The 24,058-nt window shown below is 39.8% G+C and overlaps 1 protein-coding gene across 11 annotated transcripts in view, besides 4 other annotated features; it reads left to right on the top strand.

Moving 5' to 3' along the window:
• Positions 1-24,058, top strand: part of PDE4B (phosphodiesterase 4B) — a 582,070-nt gene that overhangs the window by 520,944 nt on the left and 37,068 nt on the right. For 7 of the 11 annotated variants that reach the window (NM_001037341.2, NM_001297440.2, NM_002600.4 and 4 more), the window contains one exon: positions 19,055-19,167. In NM_001037341.2, the coding sequence (NP_001032418.1) occupies positions 19,055-19,167 (113 nt within the window). The other 4 variants (XM_005270925.3, XM_006710680.4, XM_005270924.4 and 1 more) reach the window with 4 other exon arrangements.
• Positions 20,060-20,119: an enhancer, noted in NCBI's record as "active region_1149". NCBI's record gives its function as "activates an Ori minimal core promoter by ATAC-STARR-seq in GM12878 lymphoblastoid cells {active_cell/tissue: GM12878}" and the evidence as "EXISTENCE:reporter gene assay evidence [ECO:0000049][PMID:35858748]".
• Positions 20,150-20,199: an enhancer, noted in NCBI's record as "active region_1150". NCBI's record gives its function as "activates an Ori minimal core promoter by ATAC-STARR-seq in GM12878 lymphoblastoid cells {active_cell/tissue: GM12878}" and the evidence as "EXISTENCE:reporter gene assay evidence [ECO:0000049][PMID:35858748]".
• Positions 23,483-23,532: an enhancer, noted in NCBI's record as "active region_1151". NCBI's record gives its function as "activates an Ori minimal core promoter by ATAC-STARR-seq in GM12878 lymphoblastoid cells {active_cell/tissue: GM12878}" and the evidence as "EXISTENCE:reporter gene assay evidence [ECO:0000049][PMID:35858748]".
• Positions 23,593-23,642: an enhancer, noted in NCBI's record as "active region_1152". NCBI's record gives its function as "activates an Ori minimal core promoter by ATAC-STARR-seq in GM12878 lymphoblastoid cells {active_cell/tissue: GM12878}" and the evidence as "EXISTENCE:reporter gene assay evidence [ECO:0000049][PMID:35858748]".

The following is a 24,058-nucleotide window of genomic DNA, read 5'->3' on the forward strand; positions in this document are numbered from 1 at the left end:
AGATTCACTTCCCTTCTCCTGGCCTCAGTCTCATCATGTGTGAACCAAAGAGTTGGATTAAATACAGTCAGTCTCTAAGGTCCCTTCCAGATTCAATAATCCTTTCCATCCCAGAAGATTTGGCCTGGTTCCTTACAGATGCTGAGGAGAAATCTCCTGCATTAAGCTTGCACCCTGCAGAGTTGGAAATCATCCAAAACATTTATCACTCATAGCTTTGCTTTGACTGTGTGGCAACTGGGAACTGAGGAAATGGGGGTAGAGTGACTGGAAGAGAACAAGGAGTTGCTGAGATAATTTGGGGGAGATCTCTTGTAAGTATTTGGCCCTGACCTTTCTTCAGGAACCAATGAGAAGGCAGCACAGTGGCCTGGAGAGTTGTAATCCTTCGCAGCAATCCATGCCTGGGGCTCCTCCACTTGTTATGGATGCACCCTAAATCCTTGCAACCACGTGGGAGTCAAGACAAACTCAATGTGGTCCAAATTCACATGTCTCCCCCTCCTCCCCTAACTCCCTCACATGTATCAGTGAGGGAGTTTCTGCTCTTGTGTCCCACTCTAAGGCTTTGTGACAATTTTGGACACAATTGTCACCCTTTGTGATGATTTTGGAAACTCGTCTCTCCAGTCCTCCATATCCCATCCCTTAAACATATACTTTTTCCTTCCAAACATTGCTTAGAACTTAGCTCTTCTCTGTTATCCTATTGCTACCATCTATTCTAGCCTACACAGGTAATCCTGACAGTAGAATCTTCCCCAGGTTCCCAACTCTAGCTACTTCCCATTGAGAGCCATCTTACATCCTCCTGCCAGCTTCATAGTTGCACATTCCCTCTCCCCTCATGCCTCACCCCTATTCAAGAACCTACAATAGCTCCATGCATTCCTGCATCAAATCCAAACTTCTTGGTCTCATTTCGTAATCTGGCTCCACTGTTTTTTGTTTTTGTTTTGTTTTGTTTTGTTTTTTTGGAGATGGAATCTCACTCTTTTGCCCAGCCTGGAGTACAGTGGCGTGATCTCGGCTCACTGCAACCTCTGTCTCCCAGGTTCAAGCAATTCTCCTACCTCAGTCTACTGAGTAGCCGGGATTACAGGAACCCACCACTATGCCTGGCTAATTTTTGTATTTTTAGTAGAGATGGGGTTTCACCATATTAGCCAGGCTGGTTTCGAACTCCTGATCTCAGGTGATCTTTCCCTCTCAGCCTTCCAAAGTGCTGGGATTGTAGGCTTGAGCCACCGTGCCCAACCTCCACTGTGTTTTCATCACTCTATTCAGTGAAACCTATCTTGTCTCTGCTTCACATTTCATTTTGGCCGCCATGCCATTCCGCGTATGGTTACCGTTGCCTGGCTTGTAATTCAGCTTAATTCAGTGCATTTTCACAAACACTTATGAAGTACCTGCTCTGTCCAAAGCACAAGCACACCTTTGCTGCTCCCAGTCCTTCTCTGATGATCCAACTGCAGTCCATGGTTTGCCCTTGCTGTTTTCACTTTGTGTCTATGCACTCCTCCCCTCCTGGAGCACATTCCTTGAGGACAATGACAACTGTGTCTTTCACTCTCGTACTTACTGGGACCTACTGTTAAGTCCAGGCTCCCAGACCACCTTTACCCATACATCATTCTCTTCCCACTTGTTCTGTCATCTATAAATTAATGATAACAAATCTATCTCACAAGGTTGTTTTGAGTATTAGAGATATTTTGTTCAGGGTTGACTATCAGTTGATGGTTGCAATGATTAGCATTATTTTTATATCCATCCCCTTAGGGTCTTTCAGTTTTTGTTGCACAAGCTCTTAAGCATTTGGAGTTAGAGAAAGTAAAATGTGTTTTATTACTATTAAACATAGAAGTTATTTCTGTTCCTGAGTCTTGATTGGAAAATTCCACACTCAACCCCACGAATTACTGTAGGTTAATGCATCTAATTTCACCTGTTCATAAGGCAAATGTTTATTTATTTTATTTTTTATTTTTTGGAGGCAGAGTCTCACTCTGTCACCCAGGCTGAGTCTCACTCTGTCACCCAGGCTGGAGTGCAGTGGCACGATCTTGGCTCACTACAACCTCCGCCTCGTGGGTTCAAGCGATGCTCCTGCCTCAGCCTCCTGAGTAGCTGGGATTATAGGCACACGCCACCACGCCGGGCTAATTTTTGTATTTTTTTTTAATAGAGACCGGATTTCACCATGTTGGTCAGGCTGGTCTCGAATTCCTGACCTCATGATCTGCCTGCCTCGGCCTCACAAAGTGAAGGCAAGTATTTATTAAATGCTTGCTGTTTATCAAGCACTGTTCAGTCCTTACCATTAGCAACTTCAGTGGCCTTCTTTTTTTTGAAGGTGAGTCATTCCCTCTTCCTCATCTCAGACCCAGCCCTCCCTACCTACGAGGAAGTGTAGTATGGGAACTGTGGAATTCAGAGTTTTCACTGAGGGCTTGGTTCTGAGCCTTGGCCACGTAAACCTCACTCACTCTCCACCCTCCTGTGTTCTTCTGAGGCTGTGTCTGCTGGGTACCAGCTAGAGCCTTCTGTCTGCTGGCTACCTAGCCTATTCAGTTTCAGAAAAATAATTTCTAATCCAAACTACAACTATTTGAAATCCAGTCAGAGTGTAGCAGTAATTCATTCATTCAATAAGTTCAATCAGTGAGTAAATTCAATTTAGTAAATGATTGCTAAATTAAAGCAATCACCCAGCAAGGCTGATTCAACAATCTCAAAATGTCTGCTGTATGTTTCTGCAACGAACTTTGTAGTGTAATCTCTTCATTAAAAGATTAATATTCCCTTGTTTACTACTATTTCAAATAATACAAATTCACATAATTCAAGGAAATCTTCCAAACTAGATAACATGATATTATATGGTAAATGCCAGAAGAACCAGCAAAACAAAAAACAAAAACATCAAACCTTCACTAATGAGAAAACAACCTTTAAAAATTGCCTTAGGCATCTATAATCTAGATTATCCCAGTTTTAAGACTTTGCAGAATCTGTGTCTAGTTGTTATATGTGTGAAGCTGGCAACAAGAGGCCAAAATATCAGAAGTGACATGCAAAACATTTACAGTCCTGTCTGTATGTGTGTGTTCAGGGGGAGATTGATTTAAGCCAATATTTTCTACCTAGCCTGCACATTTATGTTGGCAGGATTTCACTGGTAAATATTGGTCTAAACCAAACACTGAAATCTTTAATCACATTTAAACAGACATTGCATTATACTGCATTAGACACTGCATTAGAAAGGAACCAACAGGGAAAAAGTAAGCACAGCTGATAGCTACAATCTTTCAAGGGTAAAAAGGAAAAATCAGAATTCAGTAAGAGTCTTCAGAGGGAGAAATGCCAAGAAAACCATAGCTGAAATACAAAATTTTGTTTTTCTAAAGTCTGGAGCTGAGTTCAGTTAAGTGACGTAGTTTACAAACCAGGGGAAATTAGGGCCGGAACGGAAGTACTGCTAAATTAGGAGAAATTGGCCAAAGGAAAGTGAGCTAGCTGTGACATACACAGTGTTGGCTTCTTTCTCTCATTCTCAAACAATTCTTGTTTGCTACTGTGTGGAGTTGGGTTGCCATGAAACCTGAGGCCTAATTTTATATTTCATTGGAAGTTCTGAATCTGTCACATAAAGCAACTGTTTGTCTACCCACAGAGGCTGCAAAAATCATAACTGTTAATCTTTCCTAACACACACAGAAAACCCCAACCCAAAAAGAGTTGCTTGGCTTTCTTTGTTCAGTGTCTTCATTCACATCCAGGGGTTCTTACTGAATCATCCAGAACCCCATAAATCACCTCAAGAGCCTGTGAGTCTCCTACTAAAGTGTTCCTTCCTCCATCCCTCACCACCTCTGCTGCACCAAACCCTACCCCGCACACTTCAGACACAGCCCTAGACTGCTTAGATGCTTACTAAGAAAGTCTTTAGGAGGAAGGGCTGTTTTATCTCTGAAATCTATGCTTATCCCTTCTTAATTAAACTGTCAGGCCCCACATTTTGGTGTAGATGATAAGATTTGAGAGAAGCAGGGATCTTGTTGGGATGAATGGTCAGTCCCACTGAAGGGTGCCTCAAAGAAAAACTGTTTTTTTTTTTAAATTTCTTTTCTTTATTATTATTTTTTTAAGTCAGGCCTAGTGCAGTGCCTCACACCTGTAATCCCAATACTGTGGGAGGCCAAGGTGGCAGGCTCACTTGAGCCCAGGAGTTCGAGACCGGCCTGAGCAACACAGCAAGACCCTCATCTCTACAGAAAATTTAAAAATCAGCCAGGCATGGCGGTAAGCACCTGTAGTCCCAGCTACTTTGGAGGCTGATGTAGGAGGATCACTTGGCCTAGGAGTTCGAGGCTGCAGTGAGCCGTGATCACGCCATTGTGCTCCAGCCTGGGTGACAGAGTGAGATCCAGTCTCTAAAAGAATAAAATAAAATAAAATAATTTATCAGCTCTTAGGCAAGATTGAGGAGGTGGGACTCCCAGGAAAAAAAATGTTGAAGGACTCATTGTGGTTATTGCCAAACCTGGCTGAGGATGGAAATCACCTGAAGCAATTCTAAAAAGAACAAATTCCCAGAACTCAGTCTGCCAAGACTGCTTTATACATCTGGGGTTTAGCCTGGGAATCACCCCCAGGAGATTCAGATGCACCTCTTCTATAGACTGGTATAGTGATGAATATCAACTTTGAATTCAGGCTGGATTAGAAACCACGATCTAATATATACTTAGTGTTGTAACTTTGGGCAGATTATGTAACCTCTCTGAGCCTCAGTTTACTCATCTATAAAACAGGGATAATAACTATTTACTGGGGGTGTGGCAAAGATTAATTAAATATTATACATAGTCTCTCACACACTGCCTGACTTATGGTGGGTCAAAAATAAAGTTAAGCCAATCCAAATGTCTCCTTGAGACTCACCCAACTGAGATAGCCCCTAAGGCATTCCTGATCACACTGGAGGCAAACTGCCTCAGTCTGAATCCACTAAGTCTGTGATTCTGGAAAGTTACTGAATATTAGCAAAAAATCATTATTTTTATTACCACCTCTTTTAAGACAAGCAATTATGGTGGAATGAATGCTGGCCTTTGAGTGTTCACGTCCTGGCTATAGACTTATGACCTAGAATAGTGCTTCCCAATAGAAATATAATAAACACTCTACAGGTAATTTAAAATTTTCTAGTAAACACATAAAAAGAAACAGGTGTAATTAATTTTATTAACATATTTTACTTAATATATGCAAAATAGTTAACATGTAATCAAATATATGCATTTATTGAGCAATTTACATCATTTTTTCATACAAAGACTTTGAAATTCAGCATGTATGTTACACTTACAGCACATCTGACCAGAGACTAGCCACAGTTTAAGTACTCAGTAGCCACATGTGACTAGTAGCTACCATATTGATAGCACAGTGTAGACATTCCAGATTCTAAAGCAAGTCATGTCACCTTCATGAGCCTCAATAATCTCATTTGTAAAAATGGAGATAACTTTAATGGCTTTGTTTGCAGAAGAAAATCAGTAAACTTGAAAGCGCATGTCAACTGGTAAAGACTGTATATAACAGGTTTTCTGCTCTTTACAACACTTAGACTACAAAATACAATGCGATTTTCATAAAGTGATGTATCCAAGGTCGTGTGTGATCTGAGACATCACTCAGGATAGCATCAGGCAGAGACACTCTCCTCTAGGCAGATGAAAGAGATTTTAGCTAGTAGTGTTTCAAGAGGTTGGAAATTTCTTAGTCCTCTTCTCCTCCTCACCCAGCACCTTCACTCTCAACAGCAAACACATTTGCTTCTACTCTTCACTGACTCTTGAAATTCCTTCGACCATTTTCATTCTACAAATAAAGATAAAATTGAGGGATAAATAACCCTTGTGTTCCCTCTGATAACATCTTAATTTGAGGCCTCCTTACTTCTTAAGCTCCTATCTTTTTCTACAAATGATATTCTCTGATGTTAATAATTTACCAAGTGCTTATTCTCTGCACTCTTATAATTTTTATAAAATTCTGCTACCAGAGCAATAGCTCATCTTCTTAAAGATTGTATTGTATATATCAAGAGCACTGAACTTGGAGTCAGAAAGCCTAGATTCAAGTTTCCAGGTTCTACATTTTCTAGTTATGGGATTTGAGGTGAAGCCTGTAGTGACCAGAAGACATGAAAATTCCCTGAGCTTCATCAGGCTTTTCCTCTATAAAATAAAGACAATAATACCTCTCTCGAAAGGTAGATGAGGATTAAAAGAGATAATGCATAAGAAAGTGGTCTATAACTGCAAAGAATTAGACAACTATAAAATGGTATTTAGGGATTTATAAGCCATTTTGTGCATGCTATTCTTCCATTGAGCAGTTTCCAATGGTTCCTTCTTGCCTGCCAAATAAAGTCAGATTCCTTAATCTAACATTAAAAACCTCTCCAAAATTTGGCCCTGACCACACTACTTTTGGAAGTTTATCCTACTCAACCCACTTACTCAAATCAAATGTTCTAACCAACTAGAACTCTCATATTTGTCCTACCCAAACAACACTGAATGGTGTGACCTATTTCTAATTTGGTATATTTCTTAATGCTGTCCATTGCCTTACCTCATTTTCCAACCTCTCAAACTTCCACCCATTCTTCTTTACCAGGCCTCCAAATCTCTCATGATCTCGTTTTCCCTCATGTCCTTGAACTCTATCTCTGCAGCCTCTGAACTTTGCTTGTGTCTTTCTTATGACAGCTATAAAAACCCACGTGGGATTCTAGTAACTCTTGGTGCACAGAGACTTGCAACAAGATGCCTGAATGTGGGTACTCAGTGAGAGTTAAATATCCAAATCTGCAAGTGATTTTGCAGAAGTGCTATTGAGAGGCAAAATGTTTCCCATATAAAAACTAGCCAGCCTAGAAATCTAATCAACACATGAATGCAAAAGAAAGATAGAGCTGATTAGCTGTGGTAACACTGAATAAATCAGTAAAAAGAAGGTGATTTGTTTGGAGACTAGCAAAAAAAGAACAAAGGACAAGTATTGGACATTGTGTCTTTGATACTGTTCAGTAGCAAAGGCCCCTTTCTTTTTGGTAATGCATAGCCCATCTGTTGATATGTTGGGCATGTCTACATTTCAACTAATATTTTCTGAGCTTCTACTAGGTAATAGATGCTTGATGCACAAAAAACTAAAAAAATAGATTCTCTACCCTCAAGAAGGTTAGAATCTAATAGATGAGAAAAACCAAGAGAAATATTTGTAATGAAATATGGTCATTTGGAAATAGAGGTTTGCATATGGTGTTGTGAGATCTTAGAGGAAGGAGGCTTAATCCAACCTCAGAATATTTAGAAAACTTTGTAGAGGAGATGACACTAGGCTGCATCCTAAAAGATAAGGAAGAGCTAGCCAGGTGAACAAAGTTGGGAAAGGCATTTTAGGCAGATAGAAATGCTTGAGCAGAAACAACTATTATACAATCTATCTCAGCAAGGGAGCTGAGTATATCAGGCTTGAGGAAAGGAGCCATTTAAACCATCCAACTAGTTCTCCTGCTCTGATTTCATGCTTACCAAGCCATCTTATGGTTAGAATTTGGCCTCCCACATAGGGAAACATGTGATTACCAGAAGACATAAAAAGCTTTTTATAAATTACTGTTCTCTATTAATTCATTGGACTCTGATTTGCCACTGGGCTCTTGTGAGTTGAACTAGTATAAACTGAATGAACTCAAAATACACTAACAAAATTACATTTCTGGACCTGAAAGGCTGAAGTGACTTGAATTTTGGTCATCAACCAAATTCCACCACCTTAGAGGCCATGTGGTTCTAACTTATGAATGTTTCAAATCCATTTACCTCTCTTCATCTCCATTGCTATTACATGGTTGTAGCTATCATCATCTCCAGCATAGACTGCTGTAATAAAGAAGTCATAATGCCATCTTAGTCCATTCTTGCTTCTATAACAAAATATCTGAGATTAGGTAATTTTCAAAGAGGAGAAATTTGTTTCTCACAGTTCTGGAAGCTGGGAAGTACAAAATCAAGGCATTGGCAGGTTCAGTGTCTGAGGAGAACTGCACTCTCTGCTTCAAGATGGCCCCTTGTTTATGTGAAGGACCTCTTCAAGGAGAACTACAAACCACTGCTCAAAGAAATAAAAGAGGACACAAACAAATGGAAGAACATTCTACGCTCATGGATAGGAAGAATCAATATCGTGAACATGGCCATACTGCCCAAGGTAATTTATAGATTCAGTGCTATTCCCATCAAGCTACCACTGACTTTCTTCACAGAATTGGAAAAAACTACTTTAAAGCTCATATGGAACCAAAAAAGAGCCCGCATGGCCAAGACAATCCTAAGCCAAAAGAACAAAGCTGGAGGCGTTATGCTACCTGACTTCAAACTATACTACAAGGCTACAGTAACCAAAACAACATGGTACTGGTACCAGAACGCAGATATAGACCACTGGAACAGAACAGAGTCCTCAGAAATAACACCACATATCTACAACCTCTGATCTTTGACAAACTTGACAAAAACAAGCAATGGGGTAATGATTCCCTATTTAATAAACGGTGCTGGAAAAACTGGCTAGCCATAAGTAGAAAGCTGAAACTGGATCCCTTCCTTATACCGTATACAAAAATTAACTCAAGATGGATTAAAGACTTAAATGTAAGATCTAACACCATAAAAACCCTAGAAGAAAACCTAGGCATTCAGGACATAGGCATGGGCAAAGACTTCATGACTAAAACACCAAAAGCAATGGCAACAAATGCCAAAATAGACAAATGGGATCTAATTAAACTAAAGAGCTTCTGCACAGCAAAAGAAACTATCATCAGAGTGAACAGGCAACCTACAGATTGGGAGAAAATCTTTGCACTCTACCCATCTGACAAAGGGCTAATATCCGGAATCTACAAAGAACTTAAACAAATTTACAAGAAAAAAACAACTCCATCAAAAAGTGGGCAAAGGATATGAACAGACATTTCTCAAAAGAAGACATTGATGCAGCCAACAGACATGAATAAATGCTCATCATCCCTGGTCATCAGAGAATGCAAATCAAAACCACAATGAGATACCATCTCACGCCAGTTAGAATGGTGATCATTAAAAATCAGGAAACAACACATGCTGGAGAGGATGTGGAGAAATAGGAACGCAAAAAATTCCTGTGTTGAAACCAGTAGGTTTCAACACAGGAATTTTGGGGGGACACATTTAGATCATAACAAATGCTACCAGCAACTAGGATGGATAATTAACTAGGTTACTAGGTAATGTTTTATGTGTTTTGGTATGGTTTACCTCATTTAATCTTCATAACTATCCCACAAGATATGCTTACCCCCATTTTAGAGATGAGGAAATTAAGGCTTAGAGAAATTGAGTAACTCAAATGGCAAAGCCAGATATCAAACTCGTGTATGTCTTCCTGTAGATATGGGGCTCTTGAATACTATTTAGCTAACCTCATATTTCTAGTCTCTAGATTTCATTCTTGCCTTCAAGTTCATTCTCCAAATTGCAGCCAGAGGGATCTTTTTAAAATCCAAATTTGGCTGGGCCACTCCTTTGAAAGAGCTCCACCAAGTTTTCCAGTTGCTTCCAGAATAAAATACAAGATCTTTGCATGGCCTTCCATGGCTGTATATAACTTGATCTAGCTTCTCCTATCAGTCTTTCCCTGTCTGCGTTCATGAGCATACTCTGATGTTCCCCTTGCCTGGAATACTTTCCTCTCCCTTGACACTTAATTCTTATTCCTCAAAATCTCATAACTTTCCAAGGCAGGCCTTCCTTCACATCCCACTTTTCAGATTTTGGGTCCCTGGTTATCCCTATTATAAATGTTTATAGCATTCTACACTTCTTAGTATCTCTGTTCCAAGTTGTACTAAGTTTTTGCATAATTATTTTTCTATTCCTCTTAGGATATAGGCTTCAAGTAAGCAAAACCTAATATTCAGCACTATACCCTTAGAGTTTCATGATGTGCCTACAACATAATAGGCACTCAAAAATTTTACTCATTAATTATTTATCGTATCATATTCAATAAATAATAGCCAACATTCATCTGGTACTTGTAATGTACCATGCACTGTCCTAAGCACTTTACATTTATTTATTTGTTAACCAGATGCTACAGCCCATTAAAATAGATACTATTATTATTCTCATTACACAGATGAGGAAACTGGGGCACAGAGAAGTAACATCTTATGTAACAAAGTTTTATAACAGTAAGTGGTGGTACTGGAATATGAACCAAGGCAGTCTAACCCCAGAGACCAAGCTTTTAATCACTGCTCTATATCCTTCATAAATATTTTGTCAATATATTTACTTTGTTAGAAAAATAATTGGACAGCAGCTTGCCTCTATCCCTATCACTTTCTTGTGTCATTGGTCTTCAATACCAATACAGGTAGATAATTAAGTTCTTTGAACATCCCTTCACATTGGTGGTACATGTTTTAGCTGGATGAGAACAGATTCTCGTTAGCATATAAATGCCAAAGGCAGAGTTCTGGAGAGCAGGTTTTCCTAAGGGTAAGGACATTAAAAGAGTGGGAGGTAGACCAAAAGGAAACAGTGCTATGAGGCTGGCACATCAAAGACATAGTTTTGCCTTGACTAAGCCTATCTCTGTAAAAGAAAGAGAAACTTAGACCATTTATTTATAACAGGCCCAGTGGTTTAGCAAAAAAGTTATGGAATTTAGAATCAATATGTCAATCAATATAATTAAAATGTCTCCTTCATTCTCCCTCCTTTTCCCATCTTCCCCTCTCAATCTCTCTGTCCTTCTTCTTTGCCTCCCTCCCTCCCAGCCGCATCATATCACTTTGAGCAAATTGTTAAATGCATCCAAGCCTCAATTTTCTCACATTCATAATGGAAAATGTATGTCATAATGATAATAATTTCTCTCTTGGGGTTATTTTTCAAGGAAAAAAATGAGATATGCAAGTGAAAGTGCTTGGTAAACTGTCAAGTTATATATATAAGAGCCAGTTGTGATTAGAAGTTTTGTTTTACTTGTAGTCTTAGAGGAATTTGCTAAAGAGATCGGCATCAAAATGACCTACTTTTCACTGTTATTTCCCTTAAGGGCAGTGAACCTCTTCTTTTATGAATCCACCCAGAGTGAAATCCCTGTCATATGCAATTGCAAAGTTCCATATCTATAAAGACATGCTAACAAAGTTCTGCCTAAAGAAAGGCTATATAGGGCTTGCAAACTTTGGTCTTGGAAGAATTGCATTGCAGTGTGTACATGTTCTCCTGTTCTTATGATTTGTTCCATAGATACTTTACCCAAGGTTAAAATAACATGCCCTCTTGAAATGTTGCACTCTAACCTGAGTGTGCTTCATTTACCAAATATTATATATTTGGACATAATAACTCATGATGAAGAAAAATTATATCTAACTCTAAGGGAAAAAATCACAACCAAGATTGCCAAATAAATAGATAAATAGGCCAGTAGCCTCAACCTAACACCTTTGCATAAAGAGATGCCAATTCCTATATGTATGAAACTATTTTACATTTTATCAAGTACTTATTGCACTATGGGAAGGAACCGAAGAATGGAGTAAGTATGCTAACTTAAAGGCATGTAGAGCCATAGGAGCAACCCAAACGTAAGACATCTACAGGGCTAGAAGCTTGTGAATGAAGCTAAAAGTAAAGCTGAATGTAAATAATCCAATTAATACACACTTCTCATTTACAAAGATCAGAAGATTATGGGAGGAAGCTGAGAAGGCGCCTAGCTTCACAGACTTACTATTTATACAAGGAAAAGGGATTTCCAATATAATCATTCGCTACAATGGACAATACCACTCCTGAAGTGTATTGTTCATTGCTGTAATCCAGCACCCACCCAGCAGCAGGCTTGGCACATAGCAGATGCTCAGTGTACTTTTGCTGAATGAATGAACAAACAACTTCCCTATACAATTCTCCACATCTGAAAGGCCACTGACCTGGTATGTCAGTTAGAATTTTGTGAAAAAACGATCCATCAGGTCAGCTCTATATTTTAGAAGTGGAAACCAACAGTCTCTAACTTAAGACAAATGTCAAGAATGCATTTTTCTGAAGTCCTACAGTGGGAAGGACGCTTTAGGATTTCATGGCCAACCTTACAAATGCTTCCTTTCCCAGGGCCAAATCAAAACTCTGTCAATGACTCAGCTGTCAAATACATGTCAATATATCATCAGGAAAGTGACCCAGGACCAGAGAAGTGGTGGGAAGGAGGGGAGAAGTTCCTGACACGTGCCGGATGCTGTACCAAAGGCTTGGCGTATACTGATTCACTTAATTCTCACACCTAGTTTAAACTATCTTCCTGTTTTACAGGTGAGGAAATGGAAGCACAGTGGGCTACTTTTCTTGTCTAAGGGCACATTGCTATTAAATGGCACAGTTATGATTTATAAACAGCTGGGGCAGACTCTACTGTGTTCCACTGAATTTTGAGTTAGTAGGGCATCCTGGTCTATGTCACATTAAAACCAACATTTGTCGTTGTTTTTTAGCTATGTGAGATTTACTCAAACTCTGTTGATACCCATTGTTATAGCTAAACAAAAGGAAAGGAAATGTTTTTTAGAAATTCTGCTCTTGTTTTTTTAAACTGGGCTTCCCCTAGATGGGACTATCTGTTGAAAGCCTACATGGACAACCAGAAAGACAGCAAAGTGCACAAATCACAAGTTTAGAAATCAGTGAGTTCTTATAAAGTGAACATACCTATGTAACCAGTTCCCAGACCAAGAAATAGATCATTGCCAACCCTATAGAAAGCCCTTCAAGTCCCTCCTGGTCACTAAGCCCACAAGGTAGCCAATATCTTGACTTCTATTACTATAGATTAGTTTTTGCCTCTTTGGAACTTTATGGAATTTGACCCATACTATTTTTTCATATACATTTTAATATTTGGTTTCCTTTGTTCCACATTTATGTTTATGATATTCATTCCTGTTGCTGCATGTGGCAATTGGTCCAATTGTTTTAGCCACTAGAATAACTTTGCAAATAGTTACCACCTTCTCTAATAGAAAGGGAGTCCAATTATGTGAGGCCCATAAAGGTTATGTACAGCTCTTTTCTGTGTGCTTTCTGTGGATAGAAAGTGTGGGTGACTTGACAGATAAGTTTCTGATATATAGAGATATGTTGGAATATCATTTAGATATAATTTATAGGAAATTTATATTTGGGTAATATTGTGATGCTTTCAATTGCTAATCATGTGTAATTGAGGGCAGAGCATTTTTTCCTCTCAGCCTCAGTTTTCTCAACTGTATTACAAGCCATGAGACTTAAGGTTTCAAAGTTAAATGATGCCAGATACATAAAGGGCCCCTGTGCCTACTTTTCCAAGAGATCAGTGTAGTCATAAGATTACACTTCCCTGCACAGATTGCAGGGCCAGCTTTTAGGGCACCTGAGGTCTTTCACCAGTGGGGCCACTGATTTCATAACTGCTAAAATGTGTCCCCATGTTTTCTAACTATGAGCAACTAGCTATTTGTGGCCAGGCAGAGGTTTCTAATTACCCTTTCCTGTCACTCTTCTCTGGATCTCTCCCTCTTCCCAACAGGACTCTGCTAACTCACACACCCATTTCTACTAGATTGGCATTTAAAAAGCTGGGGAAGTTGGTCTATGAACCTAAGTATTAGATTAACTGAAAAATCATTGAAACAGAAAAAAAATAAAAAGATCATTGACTGAAAATAAGAATGTTGCTCAGCAGTTTGTACAATGTGATCCTATTTATGTTATATACATATGTATGTTTACACAGACACACAAACACATACATGACATGCACAAAGGAGTCAACAATGGTGATCTCTGACTGCTAAAAATGTGAGATTTTTTATCATTTGAATTTTTGGCTTCTCTGCAATTTTCTATTTTTCTAAATGTGCCTATATCCCATCTGTAACAATAAATGAGATATTTGCAAAATATATTTAATACTAAAAGGTTTACAGTCCATTTTTGTGTTTATTCTCTGATTCTACCTTTCCCATGAGAATAGGATATTTTTCTTATCCTCATTTTAGAGATAAATAAATTTAGTCTTCGAGAACATAGGTAATTTACCCAAGGTAACCCACTGAAGCAAGATGCAGGACAAGAACCATACCAGGTCTTCTGAGTAAATATTGCACAGCTTCCCTGTGCATTAGGTAGATCAGAAAAGGGAAGTGGAGACTTCAGAAATGACAACATTTAGGAAAGCAGTTATGCAATTTTAAATGGAAGAGATCCGAGGGTAAGATGCAACTTTAAATGCAGCATTTTCAGGAATAGGTGCATCTTTCAGTGCTAAACTGAATCCTCTGTTTCATAGACCAAGATATAGTCTTGCTAGGAATCTGGAGGGAACTATTTGCTCTAATAATTTAATCTCTGATTTCTTAGTTTATGCCTTAAGGTAAATAAGATAATCATCCTACTTCCGTATCTATCACACAAAGATGTTGCAAAGATTAACGAATAGTGTGCTGGGAGCTCCTTTGAGAAAAGAGCTATTTGAATACCATATATCATTAGCAGATTAATATTATAATTATTTACTAAATTTCTCTTCCTGTTTCTCAGAGTCAAATGCAATACCCAGCAAACTTATAGAAGGAAGAAAATCTTTCTGTGCCACTCTTGTTGGAGTGAAAGAGGGAAAGAAGAGAGCAAGAGAAGGGAGGTTGGTTCTCCCTACTTCTTCCCTCTGGAAGTTTTTGAAAGCGAAGTTCAACTGCATGACCATACATGGTCCCATGACCTACTCTTACTGCCTCTGAGATTTGCTTCTGTGGTGTTAAACATTGTTTCTTTTCAGGGCCATCTTATGTAAGACAGGAAGAGACCCAGTTTCATGGGCATGTAACCTGTTGGGTTGCACAGGGCCCTATGCTCAGAAGGGCTCCATATTTGCCATCTTAAAACTTGTAATAATACTATCTTTGAACTTGTGTTTTATAAATGATGTCTGATGGGACAATGGAGTATGTGCCAGTGGCTTGGAGCCTTGGCTCATGCACTTCCTCACTTCCTGTCACCTGCCTGTCTCCCTGGACAAGATCCTAACCATCCTCTCCTCTGCTCGCTGGTGCCCTAGGAATCGTCCAGCTTCCTTTTTCCCACCTGCACTTGTGACCATTGCTGCCCTCCATCCCCAATCAGGGTATAGGCACAGGGAGGGTCTGAGTTAGCCACATGTGCTTTGTAGCCTCAGATGGGACATGTTAGCAGCCGTCTTTGCCCTGGGCTGGCATGGCTGTGGTAGACAGAGGCCAGGTCTTGATGGGGATGAACCTCTTGTCCACCCCTGTTTCAGGTACCCAGCATGTCCCTGCTAAGAGGTTGCAGTACCCTTAGCAGTATGCTAAGATCCAAGGGGTTGTCTGCTGTGGATAGGGGCTTGGGGACCATGAGAAGGGAGAAATACCTAATTCGACTTCCCCAGCTCTTGTGCCTGGTGGGGACACAGCTTGTCAGTCTGGCGGCTATCAGGAAGGAGTAGCCAGCTGCTGGTGAGCTATGTGCGTGCCCTTAGTCATAAGAGGCAGGGCCTTCAGGTTGCTGTGAGGGTCTGCACTCACCTCAAGGTATCCCAGTGCCTGAAATAATACAATATTTAAACACACCAAACCATTAATTGTGACAAGTGTACCATAATAATGTAAGACATTAACAATGGGGAAATTAGGATGTGGGATATGTGGGAAGCCCCTGTGTTATCTTTGCAATTTTTCCGTCAGTCTGAAAGTATTTTAAAATAAAAAGTATATGAAGAAAAAACCACCATGACAAGTTGAAAGAGAGAATGCAGAAGAAAGGAAAAAACTTTATATTTTAGTATCTTTTATAGCAATTTTACTGCTTTTTCAACAAGGGGCCCTGCACTTTCATTTTGTACTGGGCCTTTCAAATTATGCAGCTGATTCTTACTGTAAAATCCCTTATTGAATGTGCAATTCAGCTATCTCTCTTTCTTTTCTTCCTCACACTCTTTTCTACCCTTCAATGCCAGGCCTTAGGATTTCTCCAATTGCCATTAGTAATTCTCCTATGCATCTATCACCTACTAAGAACTGGCTACCATCCTAGGCACTTCATATATTTTATCTTATTTAATCCCTTTATAACTTTATGAGATAAATATTTTATCCTTCTTCTACAGATGTATGAAATTGAGGTCTAGGACCACACAGTAAGTGGTAGAAGAGAAAGTCAATATTCATGATTCTCACTCCAAATCTGGTGCTTTTTTTCACAGTGCTACAGATGGACCATTCAGCCTTCAGGTGCCCAGGTATTTGTAGGATGCTTAGGCAATTTGGTTTCCATTCCTCCAATTATTTACTGAGTATCTCCTAGGTGCTAAAACTACAAAGTTATATCAGGGAGGCCAGTCCTGCGCTGCTCTGGTCATTTTCTTTGATTGCATTCATAGGTAGCAGGTGTTTGATATCCCCCTATTTAGTACACTCTAACCTCTGTGCCCATGGCTTAGTTGCCATGATAGGAAGACTATAAAGTGGACACAAAGTCTTGACTGTGAATTAAGAATTTGGAAAGTGATACTCTAGCCTAACTAACATTGCTTCAAAATGTATTAATTTTTGCTTAAACATTTTGATGGCTGATCTGAAGAAGAGAGGACAATGGAGCAAGGTCTCTTCATATCCATTACCTGTTCACCCACATCTCACGTTGTACCAACTCTAGAAGTACCTGAGTGCTTGTTCCATGCAGTAGACAATGAATGAGCTCACTGGTGTATCTTTGAAGAGTCCTTCTCTTTTTTGTACTTCTGCGGGTATAATTACTGTATGTATTTCCTTGGTCAAGCTTGAATAGAAATCAGATCCCTTTTTTCCTCTGCATGAAGGAGAAATGTGATGTATCATCTTGCAGTCATTTTGCATATCAGTGGATTCAAAAGGCTAGGAGCAAGCTACTTTCTCCCCACCGTCCTGGTGAATGTCCAATATTAGTTACAGAGAACCACAGGTTGTGATGTGGAAGACATGAAGGTAGTAAATCCCCAGCAGCTGGGAAGTGGTTGGACTTTTTCCTTTATTAGAGGCAGGGAATGAGAATGGGAGGGTTCTGTCTCTTCAGAAAAGGCTTCCTTGGAAGAAGTGCTCTTCTGGAAGCAAACAGAGGAGGCAAGGGGTTGTTTCGGACACACTAGAGAGTAAGTCAGAGAATCTTCGTGTTGAGGCAGCATTGCAAAATTGAAGATGAAGAAAGGAAGGAAGGTATGTGTAAGTCTGGCTTGAAATGAGTTTTATTAAAAACACCTCAATTCTTGTCTGCACATTTTTGAAGAGTGTGAAAAAAAAATGGAGGAAGTTACCTCCAGTGGTTTTGTGGCTTTTTAAGCATGACATACAGGATATTGAATTTAACCCCTGTTTATCTTGAAGTGTATGAATATTTCGGGGATAAACAAAGCAACTATTCTTTGAAATATGCGTCTGTGGCCAAGTGATTCCAGTTACTTGGAATCACAGTTCTGTTGATTCTCTTTTCTGCTTCAAGTATTTGCACACCACAGACATAAGATTATTCATATAATAATTTTTAAAAACCATGTGGTCTTGCTAGAATTTCTGTATAAATGTATAAAAATGTCTTTTAAATATGGCAGGAATGTTATATTAGAACTCCATGTGAGATTTTACATTTTATTAGTGCCTATTGTGTGTTTGTATTTCAGAAATCTTGGTAGAGTTTATAAATGCTATTTCTCTCAAAAACAGTCGTGTATATAGGAGAGTCCAAGTGCTTTTTACAACTCTCTGTAGCTTCATTAATTCATCTAGCATTTATAAAGTTATTTCAGTGCTTATTAAGATAGATTTCTTAAGCCAGTAACCTGAAGTATTTGTTTAGATTCACAAACTTTTGGATATAAAATGACATGTTAAGGATATGTAAAAAGAATTTTAATTATCTAGCAAAAAAATGTGATTTTCACAACAATATTTTTTGTGTGAAATACCAACAATATTTCCAGAAAGTCTAGAGTCTTAGGGCAACAAATTGGAGCCCCCAGCTTTAATCAAAATAAAAATCTGCAGAGTGTTCACATCTGGCTCCACCTGAAAGTCCGGTTCAGAATTTCCCTGTGATCCTGGCACTTGCAGAAGGGAAGTTTTAGCTTTGTTTAGTATAACAAGAGCTGCAGGACTCCCAGGCCAATAAACGTGTTCACGTAAAACTCCAGACAGCTTCTTTTAGACTGGAGTCTTATCAGGGAGACCTCATTTTCCCTCTAATTAAAGGAAAGATTTAAGGGAGAGAAAGGAATAGCCTATGCCTCTTACTTGTGCGGGTCAGTGTTCGCTGAATTAGAAGTTATTCCAACATGAACACAATCCTCAGGATGAATGACTGCCTAGACTTTGAACGTAATGGTCAACCAGTTTTCACCCGAATTTTGACTGTTTCATTTAGAAGAAAAGCAAAATGAGAAAAAGCTTTCCTCATTTCTCCTTGAGATGGCAAAGCACTCAGAAATGACATCACATACCCTAAAGAACCCTGGGATGACTAAGGCAGAGAGAGTCTGAGAAAACTCTTTGGTGCTTCTGCCTTTAGTTTTAGGACACATTTATGCAGATGAGCTTATAAGAGACCGTTCCCTCCGCCTTCTTCCTCAGAGGAAGTTTCTTGGTAGATCACCGACACCTCATCCAGGCGGGGGGTTGGGGGGAAACTTGGCACCAGCCATCCCAGGCAGAGCACCACTGTGATTTGTTCTCCTGGTGGAGAGAGCTGGAAGGAAGGAGCCAGCGTGCAAATAATGAAGGAGCACGGGGGCACCTTCAGTAGCACCGGAATCAGCGGTGGTAGCGGTGACTCTGCTATGGACAGCCTGCAGCCGCTCCAGCCTAACTACATGCCTGTGTGTTTGTTTGCAGAAGAATCTTATCAAAAATTAGCAATGGAAACGCTGGAGGAATTAGACTGGTGTTTAGACCAGCTAGAGACCATACAGACCTACCGGTCTGTCAGTGAGATGGCTTCTAACAAGGTAAGAGATGATCTTTTTATTCATTAAAGTGTGATCATGCAGGGAGCTCCAGCTCCCCTCACCCCTGTCTGCAGCAGAGTGCACCAGGGAATGCTACCAACTCTAAGAATATGTTTGTTGCTTTGTCTAGAAGATTCTCTTCCAAAGTGTCACACTCTACTTGTGTCTTGATGCTACAGCAAAAGTTTAAAATCCTCAGTACGCTTCAATTTCCAGAAACAAAACTTCTCTCTTACTGATGCAGTTTGGAATAGGTTTAAGGTGAGAGATGTCTGTCTGTAAAGCTTCCAAATCAATATAACATTGAAAGTGCTTTAAAATTTTTTTACAATTATCAGGAAGCTAAAATCTGAGTTAGTCTTGTTGCATTGCAATCAGGTGTCACATATTTATTTTTAAACAAGAAAGTAGTTTAACCTTCATATATCAATGGGAAAGAATGGTCTGTGTTGAAGTTTGATAAATTCCCTCTAAAAAGAAGGATATCCTGGGATTTTCTAAGATTTCTTTTGCGATGCTGGCATGACCTAAGATAAAAAAGAAACAATATGCTTTGTCTCCAAAACCAGAGGTTTTCTTTAAGTTTGCTGATTTTCATAGTGAAATCATTTGAAATTGCTTCATGCATACTGCCCCCAAAATGGTTTTATTTACAATCCCCAGACAAAGCTTAATGTTGAAGAGCCTTAATTATCTATCATTATATCATTTGTTTAATTAACACCTGGACTTAGAATGCTAATTTATGTAGTGAGAGTTGTTGCTTTTTGTTTGTATTTTTACCTTGGAGAATATTATATTAAATACATATTGCTATAAAGTTATACAAAGTTATATATGTGTGTGTACACACACACACACACACATACACTTTGTTAAAAAGCCTTACACCATACCCTCATAGGTGCACATTTCAGAGTCCCAGTCATTCTAGCCTGAAGTATCATCTTGTTGTCTACGTTTCTGGGGCTGAGAAGATATTTTGCTCCACACCTGCCAGCATGCCCTTTCCAGCCCTGAGGTGCACCAGTGAGTGTGTGTCCCTTCTCCAGCTTTCCTGGGGTAAAAGTACCACCTTTGGATCAAGGCTTGCTGGCTGCGGCTCAGAGGATCTGCGCAGAGGAAGCAGTGTGTCCTCAGGAGATCCTGAAGGAGGGGAGGGGGGACTCTTCCTACTTGGAACTCTTTGTTTATTGGTTAATGAAAGGGCAAAAATAAGTCCCTTTCTAAAATTTTAGTTTAGAGTTTAAGTTGGAAGGGAAAAAAAAAGAAAAGAACACATTTGAGGATTAACTATTTATTGACTTTTCTCTGAAGTTCTCAATTGAAGGTTAAACTCAGGGATTTTCCAGGCTGGGGTAAAACTCAACCAACTGCTTCCCCATGAGGAGGGCTTTGCTGTGTAACTTCTCCAAATCACACTGGGACTCCATGTAGAAGGACTTTCACAAGGCTTGAGCCTACTTTGGAGCATTAGCAGACACTCTGTTCCCTGTATTTTGTGGTAATTGACGGCTATGCAAGATGTAGATCCAACATTTATGGGGTAGTTTTTCAACAGCTTTCACCATAGAGAACATGGCAAACTTCAATAGTCACCAAAATATACTAACTAGAGTCACCAAGATAAAGCAGGCAATTAACTCCAAGAAGAGAAAAAGAGTACCCCCTGAGAAACTACAAATTGCCATTAATTTTCATTTTGAGTGTCAATATGCTGTAGTATTCTAATCCCATTCATGCCTAGAGTGCTGGAATTAGACATTGACTGTCTTGCAAATTTATTAAAAATAATCTTATTCAGCATAGTAGTTAGTAAGGCTCTGAGACCAGGCACTCTGTAGACACGGGTGAGGATTCCAATCCCTCAGGCTTCCGCTCCTCCTTTATGGTGTTGTGTGCAGGAAGCAATGAAAGTTGAATAGAGCTAACCCTAACAAAAGGGCTAACCTTCAATGCTGACACAGTTAGCTTAAGTAAAAAGCATGCAGCCTCAGTCATTTTCTAGTTCTACAGTGGAAAGGTTGTCAGGGAAAGCAATTATTTAGTGCATGAATGATGCCCAACTGACAGCTAAGATTAATTTTTAAAAATATCTCTTTTTACTTTACTACCTTTAAAAAATTATTGATTATTCAGATAATTGTCTCAGGTTAAGCTTGAGCATAACATGCACCATGACACATATGATATAAGGCAATGAGGCCAGGGAGTGGTGGCTCACGCCTGTAATCCCAGCACTTTGGGAGGTCGAGGCAGCACTTTGGGATTGCTTGAGCCCAGGAGTTCGAGATAATGCAATGCAAACATTTTTGTGGCCACCAGAAAGAAATTGATCTACACCAGTTCTTTGGGAACTGAATTATCCATGGCAAAAAAAAACTATATTCCATATTCAGTTTTCAATGTTGCTGAAATTATCTGAGATTTCCATCCAAGTTGACATCTTAAAACTTTATCATGATCATCACTCCCTTTACTATGTAGTCTTATTTGGCCATATTTTGCTTACCCTTATCAACTAAGGAGCCAGTGTAAATCTCTGAGTTGCAGATCTGGAAGTGATGTGAAGAAATGTTATAGAGGGAGTGTACTTATCAGTGGTATCCACTACATTTTTGCAAAAACTCTGTGTTCCTAGTTCTGTTTCAGCTACGTGGCCACTAAGTTTTGTTTGCAATGTCTGATCTTAAGAACAGCGATAGGTGAAATTGTGTTATGCTGAGGGGTATTTGGGAATTACATAAGTGCAGTCTACATGCAACTGGTAGAGAGTTAACTGTGTTTGGTGGAGGAAAAGCAAGCATCTTTCATCTTTACTTCATCTAGGTAGGGTTGTGCTTTTTTAGTTTGTTTGTTTTCCTTAATCCTTTAAATTTTGAAGAAAACTGAGTGATTCAAATCTCCTAAAAGACTTTCTCAAATGTACTTCATAGCCTAGAGAGTTAGCTAAGAAACATCGTCCTCTGTTTGGCCCAAATTTCTCTGATCCCTTAATGCTGGCCACAGTCCAGATGGAATTCCAGAATTTTAGAGAATGGTGCTGCCAGGTAGGTTAGTCTTGTAAATTATTTTCCTCCAAGAATTACTAGAAGATGGAATAAGTTCAGCAGAAGTTTTACAAGGCAATGGTATTGTTATTTAAGATGAAAAGGATGGCTAGTGAACCTCCTGCCAGCTGCCCAAATTCGATTAGACATGTTAGAGCTAGCCGTTTTGCTTAACAACAGATTGCCTTCTTAGAATTGTTCATTAATTTTGTGTTTCAATTTTCATCACCTCCTGAATTAGAAGAATTGTCTTACACTTCAGCAAAATGCATCAGAGCATGAGTTCCTCAGTGGCAAAACAGTCAGATGTTTTGAAAACAGGATGCTTTGGCTCTCCATTATAAAAAGAGGAACGGAAAGAGAAACAGTATAGAAAGGAAGAAAGCAAATAGCCTCAGCAGGGTCCCCAGCCCAACAACGGCATAAACAGTGACCTATCTTCCTGACCTTCACTGTGGCTCAGTTCCTGACCTCGTGTCACCAAAGCCAACCAACGTCATTAGAGGAGGATAGGAGGAATGGCGCAGCTGCTGTGAGGGTGACTACAATTTCCTGTCTCCTTCCTGACAGACGCAGTCAGTAAAGTACAGGGTTGCAACAACAGTGGCTGAGGAAGGACCAACCCAGAACAATCCCAGGGAGGCGTAATTGTGACTGGCGGGGAATGGGGAGGTGTTCCTTCCCTCATTGTACTGAGAAACCTAGTCTTTCACCTAGAATTTTCAGGTGAAAAACGTCAAAAGGGTCATTCTTACCCAGAATGCTAAATGTTTTTCAAAAGATGAACATACTGTGGTATTCAGAAAAGCTATATTCAAGCAACTAGTCACTGTCTTCACTTCCCCCACAAACGCCCTCCACTGTCCTTTTCATTCTCCATTGGTTTGGCTCTGGGGCTGTTTTATATGCAGAACAAAGGTTGGGTGCTGCTGGGTGAAAATGGATATTCTGTTGTTGAAGAGTGGCCCTGTGTATTAGTACTTTTTTTTTAGAATGAAGCATTAGGACTTAGCACTTGAGTAAATGTTTGCTAAGATAGAAATGGAAGATAGATGGTCCTTCTTCTCTTAAGGCATTGTGAAGTCGGCTACAGATAACCATCATGAGGAAGTGAGTCCTCCTGGCTATGCAGGCTTATTTTTCCAGTTCTTCAGGTGCAGCCATACTACAGTACTAAACATGGAGCACAAAGGCAACTAATTGCCAGTGCTCTTGGGTTTGCAGGATAAAGTCACACTATTCTACCAGGCCCCGAGCCAGCTGGGAATTAGGCTGCATGACACTGGATGGTGATCATGACAGGCTGATTGCCCTAATGAGGGGTGAACCATTTTGTATTTAACTAAATAATCAATAACTATGGAAAATGCCAGCTCCTGCAGAACTGACAGGAAATAGATCTTACTGGCCAATGGATTCATCTTAGAACTCTGTAAGAGAGAGGGTAGACAGGCGCTCAGTCCTTGAAAGGAATATTCATGCCACTTTTGCCTAAAATGTAATGATATGATTACAGCAGTGCCGCCCTTAGCATAAGATGCATCCATTTGCTGGGCCCTGTGCTGTAATCAGAGGGCCTTAGCCTGGCCTTCCTTCTGCTGCCCTCCACCCAAGGAAGTAAGGAGTTGGCCGGGCCAAGGGAGCAGCTTTGCTCCCCTCTCTAAACTACATTTTGCATCTGCTGGACCCCCACATTCTCTGTCCAAATGGCTTTGAACCCACTTCCCGGCCACACAAGCCTCTTCCTGGGATGTGCTGCAGGCATACACACCCTTAGGCCTAAGGAGTTTAACCAAGAGGCAGCAATGAGAGGTGTGAAGAGACTTGTGTAGGAGGAACTT

Source organism: Homo sapiens, chromosome 1 (genome assembly GCF_000001405.40).
Source record: "Homo sapiens chromosome 1, GRCh38.p14 Primary Assembly".
In the NCBI taxonomy this organism is placed as follows: Eukaryota; Metazoa; Chordata; class Mammalia; order Primates; family Hominidae; genus Homo; species Homo sapiens.